Below are 15,844 nucleotides of genomic sequence, written 5' to 3'. Positions count from 1 at the left end.
TTCCAATTTCTCCATAACCTGCTCAACACTTGTTATTGTCTTTCTTTAATATAGCCATCCCAGTGGGCTTGCAGTGGCATCTCATTGTGGTTTTGATTTGCATCTCTCTAATAGCTAATGATGGTCAGCATCTTTCCATGTGCTTATTGGCCATTTGTATATCTTCTTTGGATAACTGGCTACTCAAATACTTTCCCATTGTTTAACTGGATTACTTATCTTTTTGTTGTTGACTTGTAAGAGCTCTTTATATATTCTGGATATCAGTTTCTTATCAGGTATATGATTTCCAAATACTTTCTCCCATTCTTTGGGTTATCTTTTCATTTTCCTCATGTACCATTTGTAGCACAAAAGGTTTAAATTTTTATATAGTCTTATTTTTCTATTTTTTACTTGGTTTCTTGTGCTTCTGATGTGATAACTAAGCACTGAGTAATCCAAGGTCACATTTACTCTTAGGTTTTCTTCTAAGAATGTAATAATTTTTGCTCTTTCATTTAGGTCTATGATCTATTTTGAGTTGATTTTGTATATAAGAAAGAAGTTCAATTTTATTCTTTTTCATGTGTCCACTTCTTCCAGGACCATATATTGAAAAGGCTAATTTTTCCCTCATTGAACTGCATGCCCATTTTAAGCAAAAAAAGATTGTTTTCTATGACTGCAGTCCGAGAGAAGGATAATCAGGCTCATTGACTCAGTCTTCTCACATCCCAGAATTTCTAGCACTTGCTATTTTGTGACATAAACCTCCTCCAAACACATTTGTTACCTAAACAAACACAAGAACTGTACTTAACCTTGCTGAACTACATAAGAATTTGAACCACTTCTGTTTGCTATAAATACGCAGTGCTGTGAAAGAGGCTGTTGGTTTCTATTGAAACTCAATTCTAGAGTATTTGTCTGGGAAGCTGGGGGACTGATTTTCCTGTTTTACCCATGACCTCTCCCAATAAATGCATTTATTAATTTCCATGAATTGTTGTGGCTGGTGGGAGGTATGCAGCAGCCGCCAGTTGTATGGCTAGAACATGCAGGCTGCCAACAGAAGGCCACAAAGACTATTGAATCTCTCTTCCCAATTTCATCACTGCCTTGGCCCCTGTGAATTCATGCCCCTCCTGGGCCTCCCACCTTACTGCAGAGAGAATAACGGGGACATAGAAGGATTCTTCAGGCTAATCCCACTGCAGCAGTTCTAAAACATCAGATGAGACTGTTGCCCTCACGGTGGTTCACTGAAGACCAGAGCTGGACAATAGTTAAATAGAACTGTGCTCAACTCCGAACACAGCAAGAGAAAGTGAGGATTTTATAGCCAAGGACCAGGGTGAGGGTCAGTGGATGGAAAATTATTAAGAGGAAATATCAGAGGTAAGAGGGAATCTGGCTGAACCAACATGAAAGGATTCTGGCTGAAGGCGGGCCAGGGTGATCAGACATCAATGGGACTGTAGGGCGTGAGGAAGCTGATGAGATACTGAGAATGATTAGATATCAACGGTGACCAGATATCGATGCTGGGGGATTCTGGCTAAACCAACTTTAAGGTATTCTCTCTAAAGCTGAGCAATGCAAAAATGGACAAAAAGTCCAAAAGTCAAGGCCTCGTCAGGAATAGGAACCAGAGGAGGCTGAGTTGGTCAGGAAGAGACCCTCTGTCAGTGGACCAACTCACACAAGCAACTTGGTGCATTAAAGGCACTCAAAAAAAAAAAAACTATCGATAGAAAACATTGAAGATTTAACTCAAAGCCTAGATTTGTTGCATGGGACTCCAGAAAAAAAAAATCTATTGAAATGGATTTTTAAAAGCCTACAAACAATCTCAGATGAAGAGTTATCATTATTTTAGAGAAGTCAATCTCTATTTCAACCTCTACTGATCTTTCAGACTGCACTGTTCATTCTAATTCTTATAATACAAAGGCAGAGCAGCAGATACTCTAGGGAAAGAATGCTTGCACCGTGAAATCCACAAGTCCTGGACATGGCCTGGAGACACAATGTCCAGGTCCCCCACCCAGTCAGGGTGCCAGATGGTGCCTGCTCCTCCCTAGGTAGAGACATGGAAAAACGTAGAATGCCAGGATCTTAAATCTGTAAGAGTAAAGATTCAGGAAATTCCCTTATTTACAGATAAGACAACTAAGGCCCAGCGTATTAAGGGGTTTGACCTATGCCACACAGGGATTTGAAGTTGATGCAGAAATATCTGCAGTGTACTGTTTTTCATTTAAATCACAGATGTAAGATGGTTTTTCATTCAAAATCTGATACTTCAAGCATGCCACTGCCATATCCAAACTTTTAAGCTGACGTTTTGATAATGAATATTAAGTGCTAGGTAAGATGGGGCAGGGTGGTGTTTAGTTACTACAGCTTCAAAACAACCAAATCTAAATATAATTTCTAGCTACCTTGTTGAAACACAAAAGACATCCTCCAGTACCTTTTTCTCTGCATTACATGCATTACAATGAGAGGTCAGTTGACCTTTGTTCCTTGGATTATTCTGACATTGTTCAAAGAGCCTCCCAGTTTGCAGCTCACACAGCCCAGGTGCTAGCCACCCCTGAACACAGATCCCCAGACCTTACTGTCAAATTCGGCAATTATTTTCTGTCTCTCTCTGCAGCTGCACTCAGAAGACTGCTTTTGTGGACCACCAGGAATTTCCTGTGATAGAATATCAGAAAGCTACTGGTGACTCGGAGGAGGTGACTTCACAGGGCAAAAGTTCCCTTTCTACAATAAACATTCTCAGTGTGGCCATGTGGGAGACTTCCTACACAGACCCCACACCTCCCAGCCACTTGTCATCTTGACACCAAATAGCCAGAGAAAGAAATAGAACCATTTGTAAGAGGTCATCTTTTTTTAAAATGAACTTGCCTATGGGTTCTGAGTATGTTATATCATCACGAAAACCCATGGAAAAAGCTTACCTGAAAATGATTTTAAGAAAACATATGGGCTTTTTAGGGGCCGGGCGTGGTGGTTCACACCTGTAATCCCAGCACTTTGGAAGGCCAAGGCAGGCAGATCACGAGGTCAGGAGATCAAGACCATCCTGGCTAACATGGTGAAACCCCGTCTCTACTAAAAATACAAAAAATTAGCCGGGCGTGGTGGCGGGTGCCTGTAGTCACAGCTACTCGGGAGGCTGAGGCAGGAGAATGGCGTGAACCTGGGAGGCAGAGCTTGCAGTAAGCTGAGATTGTGCCACTGCACTCCAGCCTGGGCGACAGAGCGAGACTCCATCTCAAAATAAAGTAAAATAAAATAAAATAAACATATGGGCTTTATAAGGCAAATAAGCAAGCCAATTCACAGTTCTAAGTGAGGGATGAGGCTGCCAAATGATTATAAGGCCCTTAAGCCTCTTGAGGCACCTTGCAAGATGTTTGAGAGAAAGTGAGGCTTTGCTCCCTCCCCAGCACATGGACTTCTCAGTCACAGGACCCCGCGGGAAGCCAGATGCACTCAGCCCTTTACTTCTCCAACAGCCGTTACAAAAGGCACCATTTGGAAGAAAGTCATTGAAGAGAGAAGCCAGGTTGGGCGCGGTGGCTCATGCCTGTAATCCCAGCACTTTGGAAGTCCGAGGCAGGCGGATCACGAGGTCAGGAGATCGAGACCAGTCTGGCCAACATGGTGAAACCCAGTCTCTACTAAAAACACAAAAAATTAGCCGGGCATGGTGGCACATGCCTGTAGTCCCAGCTACTCAGGAGGCTGAGGCAGGAGAATTGCTTAAACCCAGGAGGCAGAGGTTGCAGTAAACCAAGATTGCACCACTGCACTCCAGTCTGGGCAACAGAGCAAGACTCTGTCTCAAAAAAAAAAAAGAAACAAAAGAAGAGAGAAGCCAGAGCACGTGGTGATCAACCATCAGAGCTGGTGCACACTTAAGACACCTACAGTCCTCTTGCATCAGGTAAGGGCATGGTCCGGGGGAAGAGGAGCCAGCACCTACACGCACAGACACCATTACCAAAGGAAAGACAGCACAGCTGGCGAAACTTTGACTTTCCTCCTCAGTCTTTTAAATAGAGCATTCTACTCCTTAATTTATCCTGTTTTTGTTGTTGTTGTTGTTTATTTTTGTTTGTTTTTGTTTTTTTGAGATGGAGTTTGCTCTTGTTGCCCAGGCTGGAGTGCACTGGTGCGACCTCAGCTCACTGCAAGCTCTGCCTCTCGGGTTCAAGCGATTCTCCTGCCTCAGCCTCCCGAGTAGCTGGGATTGCAGGCATGCGCCACCATGCCCGGCTAATTTTGTATTTTTAGTAGAGACGGGGTTTCTCCATGCTGGTCAGGCTGGTCTTGAACTCCCGACCTCAGGTGATCCGCCCGCCTCGACCTCCCAAAGTGCTGGGATTACAGGCATGAATATGCTCATCCATATTCTAAGCAAGGGCTCTTGCCCATACACCTGGCTGCCCCTTCTACCTAGCTTATGGCTTTGACCTCATGACTTTCACTTGTCCCCTTTGGTCAATGTTTCCCATTCATATGATCAGTCTCCCCAAGGAACTAATAAGCTCCTCTCCCTTTTGTAAAACAGGACCTAATGCTTTGGTTAGACTTGAGTTTTCCCAGGTTCGTGTGTGTGTGTCTGTGTGTGTGTGTGTGTATGTATGTGTCTATGTACGGGTTCTCTCACACACACACCACCGTGGGGGGTCTAGAGCCCTTACCAGGCTTTCTGTAAAAAGCTAATGGCTGACCGGGTGCGGTGGCTCATGCCTGTAATCCCAGCAATTTGGGAGGCTGAGGTGGGCTGATCACCCGAGGTCAGGAGTTCCAGACCAGCCTGGCCAACATGGTGAAACCCCATCTCTACTAAAAATACAAAAATTAGCCGGGTGTGGTGGCACATGCCTATAATCTCAGCTAGTCGGGATGCTGAAGCACGGGAATCGCTTGAACCTGGGAGGTGGAGGTTGCAATGAGCCGAGATGGCGCCACTGTGCTCCAGCCTGGGCAACAGAGCGAGACTCAGTTTCAGTTAAAAAAAAAAAAAAGGTCACGGCAGCTAGGACCAGCTGCAGTTGGAGCAGGCAGCTGCCCTCCCAGGGCCATTCCTGTTCCCTACAGCCCCACAGGCCCTCTCTCCCCTAGGGGTCGAGTAGGAGACCAGTGCTATAAGCAGGAAACAGAGTTACACACATCTTTGGCACCACCCATGACAGAGCCCGGACTGGATTCATCACAGTTCTCCTAACGGCTTCCGCGTATGAGGCGTGAACTTCACCATCTCCATCTTGATTTTGACCTGTTTCTACGGGAACTGGGATCACAGGCAGGACTTTGCAGCACAACGCTGGCACCGATTTCACCTTTTCTGGGTGAAATACAGATTTGGTTGAACGACGGTCGCTTTCACTGCCTCCGGCTGAGGATTTGGTAGGGGCTCCTTTCAAGGCCACAGGTGTGGGTGACCCAGCCCCACCTCAAGCGGGCATGAAAGTACAGGCCGTGGAACCCGTCCGACCAAGGGTGATGAAAAGGGAAGTAGTGGGCACCATAGACACATGATTCCAGACCCCTCTTCATCCAGATTGTGGCTTGAGCCCTCAGCAATGATGTGGTTCCCATCCCTGCATCCCACACCGCAGCCCCAGGGCTCTCCCTGCCCAGGCAGCGCCGTCTGTGGCAAAGGCACACAGCGCAGATTGTAGGGTTTGGGGCTGGGCCAAGACCTACCAGGCTTCGCAACAGCGACTGGCAGCGGCTCCCTGCTACACGGGGCTTACTCCCCCAGCTCTGCCGGGGGCTCCACTCCCAAGCGGCTCCCCGTTTTCCTTCACTCACGGTGTCTCCTTTCCCCGGATTCCTGGGTTCAACCTTGATTTTCACCCATTGTCTCGCTTCCTCCTAGCCAGCCTTCTAACCCCACCGAACTGCTGCGCATTGACATTTACAAACGCACGCTTTAGGTAGAATAAACCGGCACCGCCCTATTCCCTACAGAATGTTCAGGAAGGATCTAGACAAGGGGACCCAGGCAGTCCCCGGGCCTGAAGGACGCAACTGGGAACCGGAGTGGAGTAACCCGGGTGCAGCGCCAGGCCACAGCCTGTAAACCTTTCTAAAATTACTCTCTCATCAAGGGTCTCTGAGGCCCTCACCTTCGAAAATTTCAGGTCAACAAGATGGCGTCTGAGCACTTACTTGGTGCCAGGCATAAAATAGCCCAGATCCCGGCCCTGGTGGACTCCGCATAACGAGGACGGCAGACAGAAATCAAATAACTATAAAAATAAACTTTAAAGTGTCTGAAGTGCTCCAGAGGAAAACTCAAAGGGCTCTAAAAGCAAATAACACATCCTGGGTATGTGATGGCATGAACTTTCCCAACAGCCCGGGAGTTTAGCCTGGTTAAGGAAGTGGCACCGTTATGCCTGCGGGGAATCGCCCTGAAGCGTGGGTGCGGGCGCAGCGGGGCTGCGGGAGGCCCCGGCATCACACAGCCCACAGGCTCCGGGAAAACGCAAGAGCGGAGGCGACCGCTTAGGCCCCGGCTCTCACCCCCGTCCTGGTAAATTGATGCAGCCCTGCCTGCTGCCACCATTCAATACGCCTGGTGTCTTCCGCAGCAGCAGAAAAACTGACCCTGGAGAATTTAAGCAGAAAAGTATTCCCTGCATTTCTCAAACAACCTGGAAAGACGCGAGAACTGCGCTCAGAAAACTGCAAGAAATGCGGCAGCCCAGGTGGGAGGAGTCCAGCCAAAATCACAGCAGAAGCGGAAGCCGGTGAGTAATGCTCGCGGGGCCCCCTAGCTCAGCGCACAGGCCCCAGGGTCAGCCTGTTTCCTTCACTTCTTAGTTTTTTTGTTTGTTTGTTTTCTTTTGATTCGGAGTCTCGCTCTGTCGCCCAAGCTGGAGTGCAGTGGCACGATCTCGGCCCACGGCAACCTACGCCTCCTGGATTCAAGCGACTCTCTTGCCTCAGCCTCCCGAGTAGCTGGGATTACAGGCACCCGCCACCACGCCCAGCTAAGTTTTGTATTTTTAGTAGAAAAGGGGTTTCACCACGTTGGCCAGGCTGGTCTGGAACTTCTGGCCTCAAATGATCCGCCCGCCTTGGCCTCCCAAAGGCCTGCTGGGATTACAGGCGTGAGCCACCGTGCCCAGCCTTCACTTCTTAGTTCTATCACTTACTGTGAATAGCTGTGCAACCTTGAGCAAGTTTATTAACCTCTCTGTGCCTCAGTTTCCTCATCTCCAAAATTAACCTTTTAAAATGCCATATTTCAACAAATCTAAAGTGCTGTCAATTTTATGATGTACTAATACTTTATAAGCCACTAAGAAGAAAAACACTGCCAGTTAAACTATGACACATGCTTTCACATCGCTTCAAATTTTTATCTTATATATCATTAAAAATCCTTAATTAGGCAGGGCACAGTGGCTCACACCTGTAGTCCTAGCACTTTGGGAGGCCGAGGCAGGCAGATCACTTGAAGTCAGAAGTTCAAGACCAGCCTGGCCAACTTGGTGAAACCCCCGTCTCTACTAAAAATACAAAAAGTAGCTGGGTGTGGTAGTGCACACCTGTAATCCCAGCTACTCAAGAGGCTGAGGTAGGAAGATCACCTGAGCCCAGGAGGTTGAGGCTGCAGTGAGCCGAGATCATACCACTGCACTCCAGCCTGGACAACAGAGCAAGACTCTATCTTAAAAAAAAAAAAAAAAAAAAAAAAAGGAAGAAAAACAAAAAAGCCTTAATTAGACTTTATTTAGATACAGGTTTTCATCATGTCATTCTTATACACACACACACAAAGGAGCATATAATTTTTAAAACCAGTTAGGATAGTTCTAGATCTTTTTCAATTCAGAGTCCAAGTATCAAAGGGCGAGAACCGTGTATTAGGTGTCAAGGTCAGAAGCAGAATCCAGCATTCCAAATTCTACCACCTGCGGCCTGTTCATTGTGGTCCATGAGTTTCCACTCAAAGGTCTTTGCTCTGTGCCATCAGGACACCGGCAGCATTTTCTCCTGGACCTTCATCAAGCCTCAGACACCTCTTTTGCAAGTTTTGGTGTGCTGTTTTCTTGACCTTACCTGGGGTGTCAAGAAGCTTTCAGAACACAGCCACAGTCCCTTCCAAATGATCCTTCTGGGGTTGTTGTCTGAAACAGCGGAGACTGGCATCCTTTTATGCCAACAAGAAGACAACTAAGTGTGTGCATCATGGACAAGGATGACCATGGGGCTGACGGCCATCTGATCACCTAGGAGGATCACAAGATGCTCACTGGGGCTGAGCCCCATCTCAGCACCGACCACAGACAGGCATTCCTACCAGCCCCAGGAAGAGGGCTGCGAGGGGTGAGTTAATTTACATAAAGAACTTAGACCTAGGCCTGGCACACAGAAAGCACTCAATAAATGTCAGTTATGTGTGTGTGTTTGAAGAAATACTGTAGTAAATTATTAGTGTTTTATAAAGTTGAGATTTTCGTTTTGTTTTGTAGATTGAGCAGGGCTTATGCATACCTGCAAGATAAGGAAAATGAGCTCAACTACTACACCATTTACATGCTTTCAAAAGTATTTTATAATTTGGGGAGGGCTATGAGGGAGAGGAATAGATAAGCAAAATAATCTTTCTTTAGTTTTGCCAGACAGCCAGGCTGTCCTGTTGATGAAAATGAAATGTACATAACCACATAGCTAGGATTCAGACCAGCTCAAAGAAGTCACAGCACACAGAGATATTCCTTATGGTTCAGCGCAATTGTCTAAATAAACTTTGCGGCCATGCGCGGTGGCTCACGCCTGTAATCCCAGCACTTTGGGAGGCCGAGGCAGGTGGATCACCTGAGGTCAGGAGTTTGAGACCAGCCTGGTTAACATGGTGTAACCCTATCTCTACTAAAAATACAAAAATTAGCCAAGCATGGTGGTGGGCACCTGGAATCCCAGCTACTTGGGTGGCTGAGGCGGGAGAATCACTTGAACCTGGGAGGCAGAGGTTGCAGTGAGCGGAGATCACGCCATTGCACTCCAACCTGGGCAACAAGAGCGAAACTGTATCAAAAATAAATAAATAAATAAATAACTTTTTCCCCAATTTTCTCCACTTCCAATGATTTAAATGTATCTCAGTTATCATGTAGTGTACTTAGGAACTAAAAACAGCCTTGTTGGTTTTCTTTGTGTTATGATTTGGAACACTGGATTCTGCTTCTGACCTTGACACCCAATACACAGTCCTCGCCCTGCAAGAGTTCATTTAGAGATGGAAAAGATTCTCCCCATGGAGGAGCTGTCAGAATAGGGAGTGGGAACAAAGACCAGGACACCCTCTCCCAGTTCCTGCTGCATGAGTAATCAGAAGCCACAGAAGGCAGTGTGGCTCAGCTGGCCCAGGCTGGTGCTCTGCTCAACTGGAAAAGCCTTTATTTCACAATCCTTTTTGAGTAATAGAAAATATTTTAACCCTTAAACACCATCACTCCTTTATCCATGCATTTATTTTCAGTGTAATTTGGTATTTCTAAGACTATTTGAAATCCGGATTTGGCAACTCACTGGCTACAGGGATCAAAGTTCTGCTCTCTTTGGGTTTACCTATAAAATGAGAATAAATAACTGGGTGCAGTGGCACATGCCTATAATCCCAGCTACTCAGAAAGCTAAGGCAGGATTGCTTGAGCACAGAAGTTCAAGACCAGCCTGGGCAACATAGCAAGACCCCGTCTCAATTTTAAAAGAAAAGAAAATACTGTTGCATCACGAGGGAAAAAAAAGAAAAAAAAAAGTTATCTCTTGAGCTGCCAATGTCTGTGACTGATTTCCAATTAGAATCAACTAAAATGGCCAGGCACGGTGGCTCACACCTGTAATCCCAGCACTTTGGGAGGCCGAGCAGGGCAGATCACTTGAGTTCAGAGTTCAAGACCAGCCTGGCCAACATGGTGAAACCCCGTCTCTAATAAAAATACAAAAATTAGCCTGGTGTGGTGGCACGTGCCTGTAATCCCAGCTACTCGAGAGGCTGAGGCAGGAGAATCACTTGAATCCAGGAGGCAGAGGTTGCAGTGAGCGAGATCGCGCCATTGCTCTCCAGCCTGGGCAACAGAGTGAGACTCCATCTCAAAATAATAATAATAATAATAATTAACTAAAATGAGAATGAATAGCATAGACCCAGGCGGCAGGTGCACAGGGAGCAGCAGTAGTTTGGGGCACTTGCCAACTCTCCCCATTTGCAGGCCATTTTGTCAGGCTTCCAACCTTAGAAAACAATTGTTAGCTTAGAACATGGTTTTGGGCCAAAATATAAGGACTTTTTACTTTGACAAACACTGTAAAGTTGCCCTCAAAAAGGATATGCCAAGTATAGTCCCAACGATGGTGTAAGAGGGTACCCAGTTCCACATATTCTCGCTGACACTGGATTCTGCAATTATGATTTCATTCTTGGTAAGGTTGTGCAGACTCCGTATGCTTATGGACTACTTTTTCAGATTTCTCATTTCCCTGTTGGGGTGTTTCATCCATCCACAGTCTTTGCACCTTACAGCAGTAACCTAACAGGTGGACATCCACTCAGACTGAAGAGGACCATGAGCACATAAGCTGGTGCAGTGGAAAAAAAGGGAACTCCAATTCCCAAGGTCATTAGGCCCAACACAAGCTGGGACCCTCTCCCAGAAGCCTGCTCTCAAAACCTTCAGGCAGAGGGGATAAAAGTGCTTCAAGGAACGCTTACTGTGTTTCGCCCTTCATGAAAAGAGTCAGTGGGCTGTCACTGTGTGGAGACAAAGCCAGGAGGGTGAGGCCTGTGGCGATTTGGTGCAGCCCAGAAGTGCAGGGCGAGCAGCTGCGGCCAGTTCTCCCTCCTGTCACTTAGCCTCTCGCCTTGGAGTTCCCGTAGCTGTAAGCTTGAAGTCTCAATTTATAGATTTCTTTGTTTATTCTAAAGTAAAGAAGCAGGAAGTTCATTTTTACCATGACCTTGACTAGATGTCTTTGATGATCATGTTTAATGGGTTAAAAATTCAACATCGTTTATTTATGTCATTATAACATGACGCCATCCTTGTTGTTATATTTTTCACATTTCTTTAGTGAGCGTACTTCCTGAAATAAAGTATACACACACACACACACACACACATCATGTCCATAGATTAAAGCAAAAGTTTTTCAACTTAATTTACTTAGTTTTATTGCAGCTGCATCACAATCTACAATACAAGTAATGTGATCTCATTCTTCAATATTTACCTGGACTTTTAAAATAATTGTTTGAGTCTTTCTAAAACTTTTTAGACTTTAATAGAGAAATTTTTAAATTTTCTTTTCCACAATCATTCATCAGATATAATCTGTATATCAGAATAGCTTTTTTTTTTTTCTTAACAGAGTCTCACTCATGTCTCCCAGGCTGGAGGGCAGTGTCACAATCTCGGCTCACTGCAACCTCCACCTCCCGGGTTCAAGCGATTCTCCTGCCTCAGCCTCCCGCGTAGCTGGGACTACAGGCGCGTGCCACCACGCCTAGCTAATTTTTGTATTTTTAGTAGAGATGGGGTTTCACCATCTTGGCCAGGCTGGCCACGAACTCCTGACCTCAGCTGATCCACCCGCCTCGGCCTCCCAAAGGGCTGGGATTACAGGCGTGTGTTTTCTCTTCCTTTAAATAGCAAAATGTCATGTCAATGGGAAAAAAAGAATTGCAAAACAACTTACAGCGGCTGTTCTAAACACCCTTAAGAAGTAGCCAAAATTTGAAGAAATAGCTCCACCTATTGTTCAAGATGTGGTACTGCAATGATAATATAGGCTCCTTAACTTCTATCAGTTTTTCAACCTTTTATGTGCACAGAAATCATCTGGGGATCTTGTTAAAAAGCAGAACCTCGTTCAGAAATTGAAGGGTGAGAACTGAAAATCTAACTGCTAACAAGCTCCCAGGAGGTGCCAATGCTGCTGGTTCATAAACCACTCTGAGTAGCATGGACTTAGTTTTTATATATGTAGCACATTTTAGTGAGTTTGACTATTAAGCCTAATTGCCTAAAAAGAATTAGAAAGTTTTTATTATGTGTAAAGATCATTTTAGATGCTAACAATCCATAAATCAAACTCATTTTCTCCCTTTCTACAAGGGATTACTTGAGATGAATTGGTGATGTTGAATTAACTATTATTTTTAAAAATTGCCCAAAATCAATCTACTTGAATATTCAACCCTTACTCTATTTTTTTTTTTTTTTTTTTGAGACGGAGTCTCTCTCTGTCACCCAGGCTGGAGTACAGTGGCGCGACCTCGGCTCACTGCAACTTCCATCTCCCAGGTTCAAGCAATTCTCCCGCCTTAGCCTCCCAAGTAGCTGGCATTACAGGCACCTACCACCACACCCAGCTAATTTTTGTATTTTTAGTAGACAGGGTTTCATCATGTTGACCAGGCTGGTCTCAAACTCCTGACCTCAGGTAATCCACCCATCTCGGCCTCCCAAAGTGCTGGGGTTACAGGCGTAAGCCAACACGCCCGGCCTATGACATTCATTTTAGGTCCAAGGGGTGCATATGCAGGTTTGTTATGTGGGTAAATTACATGTTGCTGTGTTGTGACAGTTCAATATACAGATTATTTTGTCACCCAGATCATCAGCACAATCCGCTATAGGTAGTTTTTCTATCCTCTCCCTCTCACCCTCCAGCCTCAAGTAGATACCAGTGTCTGTTGTTCCCTTCTTTGTGTCCACATGTACTCAATGTTTAGCTCCCACATATAAGTGAGAACATGCAGTATTTGGTTTCCTGTTCCTGCGTTAATTTGCTGAAGATAATGGCCTCTAGCTCCATCCATGTTGCTGGAAAAAAAAAATAGATTTTCTTTCTTTTTTTTTTTTTAATTTATTTGAGACAGTGTCTCTGTCACCCAGGCTTGAGTGCAGTGGCGCAATCATGGCTCACTGCAACCTCTGCCTCCTGGGTTCAGACAATCCTCCTGCCTCAGCCTCCCAAGTAGCTAGGACTACGGGCATGCTGCACCATGCCCAGTTAACTTCTGTATTTTTTTGTAGAGACAGGGTTTTGCTATGTTACCCAGGCTGTTCTCCAACCCCTGGTCCAAGTGATCTGCCCACTGTGCGTAGCCTATTCTTTTTTTTATGACTGCGTAGTATTCCATGGTGTATATGAACCACATTTTCTTTAAGCAATCTACCTTTGATGGGCACTTAGGTTGATTTCATGTCTTTGCTATTGTGACTAGCACAGCTATGAACATATGTGTGTGTGTTTCTTTATGATAGAATGATTTATATTCCTTTGAGTATATACCCAGTAATGGGATTGCTAGGTTGAATGGTAGTTCTATTTTAAGTTATTTGAGAAATCTCCAAACTGCTTTCCACAGTGGCTGAACTACTTTACATTCCCACCAGCAGTGTAGAAGCATTCCCTTTTCTTCACAACCTTGCCAGCATCTGTTTTTCTTTTCTTTTTTTTTTTTTTTTTTTTTTTTCCAGAGAGAGTCTAGCTCTGTTGCCCAGACTGGAGTGCAGTGGCATGATCTTGACTCACTGCACCCTTTGCCTCCCGGGTTCAAGCTATTCTCCTGCTTCAGCCTCTCGAGTAGCTGGGATTACAGGCGCAGGGTACCACACCAGGATAATTTTTTGTATTTTTAGTAGAGATGGGGTTTCACTATGTTGGCCAGGCTGCTGTCAAACTCCTGACCTCAAGTGATCCTCCTGCCTTGGCCTCCCAAAGTGCTGGGATTACAGGTGTGAGCCACCGCACCCGGCCTATTTTTTTATTTTAATCATAGCCATTCTGACTGGTGTGAGATGGTATCTCATTGTGGCTTAGCGTGTTAATAGCCCTCTTTGGTAAGTGGCCAACTTGGAACATAAACCCAGGACCAAGTCATTCCAAAACTCTTACTTTAAACCACTTTGCTACCTTGCTAGCTTGTGAGTGCACACCTCTTTGGGCTTCTCTTTATTAAATAATATGCAGCTTTCAGATACATATGTATAATATATAGTCGCAAGGGACTTTTTTAAGAGTTTGCCTATTCTGTATTCTTAAGATGCGAGGAGGTACTATAAATGCAAGTTTAGGAGACTTAAGAAAGTCGACATCTAAAAACAGAGAGATAATGGTATCCAACTTTAAAGTGTTTCTGAGAGGGTCAAGTGAACATCACGGTAAAAGGCAGTGTTACTACTTTTGGTTTGGTTGCTTTTTCTTTTTGTTTTTTTTTTTTTTTTGGTCACCAACTTCTCCCAATAAAGAACTTGAGTTTGTGGTACCCAGATTTAGGTTCCAATACCTTTAAAATTGAAGGTGAACCAGAGTGTTGGGAGGCAGATTACTTATAGCATAGCACCACACTGTATTTTAATGATTTGTTCCCTTAATTACCTGTTCCCTTCTCCTGGTCTCTGTATGCCCATGGGGCAATAACTCTACCTTTCTAATTTTAATATCTCCTGGCCGGGTGCGGTGGCTCACTCCTGTAACCCCAGCACTTTGGGAGGCCAAGGTGGGCTGATCATGAGGTCAGAAGTTTGAGAGGAGCCTAGCCAACATGGTGAAACCCTGTCTCTACAAAAATACAAAAATTAGCCAGGCGTGGTGGCGTGCATCTGTAATCCCAGCTACTCAAGAGGATGAGGCCAGAGAATCACTTCAACCCGGAGGTGGAGGTTGCAGTGAGCTGAGATGGTGCCATTGCACTCCAGCCTGGGCGACAGAGCGAGACTCCGTCTCAAAAAAAAAATTTTTGTTTATTATCTCCAGTGTCCAGCATTGTGTCCTGTGTGTATTTCAGGTTTGTTGAATTATAAATTCATGAATAACTAATTATCCCAATTAATTGTAGGGCAAAGATCAAACCTAGAAATTCCCTGAGGAATGTTCCCATTTGGTCAGTAGGTGGCAGTCTTGCCTATTTTGAGCCGGCTACATTCACTTCGTGATAACAAAACCTACTTTTCCACTCGAGGGAAAAGGAGGATGATTTGGAGCGCTCCAGAGCTGGAAGGCTTCTCAGGGGTCATTGCTCATGACTTCCGTGGGTCCCTTACTCTAGTCTGTCAAAGCAGAAGTCAGCATTTCACTCTCGATAACTACTGCATACAAGTAACCAAGAGACTACTGGCTCAATGAGGAAAAAGGCGTGGACACCCCTTCAACTCAGCATTTGAGAAAAGTGAGACAAGTGCCTGCTCAAAGGCGCTTGGTGTGCAATAGTGTGTCCCAGGCTATCAGCATGCAGGCAGTGATGGCAGATACACGCCCTGAGAGTGAAGCCACAGCGAAGCTTCGACAGCAGGGGCCAGCGGCGAGTCATGAGGGGAATATAATGGCAGCTTCTCTAACTCCGGACAATATCCAGCAGCAGCTAACACTTTCTCATTCTCCAGTTAATGCAATAAAATTGCAGAGATGCTACATACGGTATTAATAGGAAGCAATAAGTATGCATTAGAATAACTCCTTTCCCAGTGTCAGGTTATTCTGACCAATGTGACTCCAGAGAGGAACTAGGCTCGCTATCAGCAACACTGAGCTACAGCTGGCTGGACTGGGCTATGGCCTAAAATTCTCTGTCACATCTCCCTGTGCAAGACAGCAAATTTCTACCTCTGCCTCCAGCAACTTTTGTACACAGAACAATGACCCAATCCCTCCTGAGAACTGTCCCACCTACATACGGGAGAAGCAATAAAAAGAGACCCAGCCTCCCCAGGAATTTCTCTGGGCCAGAGTCACTCCTTATATTTAAGACAGTCAGCAGTTTATAACACCTGCTGCATTATAAATCTTAGTCCTCCAAACCAGTGGTCTT

General features: G+C 45.3%; 1 annotated feature.

The window, feature by feature from the left end:
- Positions 15,568-15,617: an enhancer, noted in NCBI's record as "active region_27372". NCBI's record gives its function as "activates an Ori minimal core promoter by ATAC-STARR-seq in GM12878 lymphoblastoid cells {active_cell/tissue: GM12878}" and the evidence as "EXISTENCE:reporter gene assay evidence [ECO:0000049][PMID:35858748]".

Source organism: Homo sapiens, chromosome 8 (genome assembly GCF_000001405.40).
Source record: "Homo sapiens chromosome 8, GRCh38.p14 Primary Assembly".
NCBI classification, from domain to species: domain Eukaryota; kingdom Metazoa; phylum Chordata; class Mammalia; order Primates; family Hominidae; genus Homo; species Homo sapiens.
The sequence above is the reverse complement of the archived record's forward strand: the minus strand, read 5'-3'. Positions and strand labels throughout refer to the sequence as shown.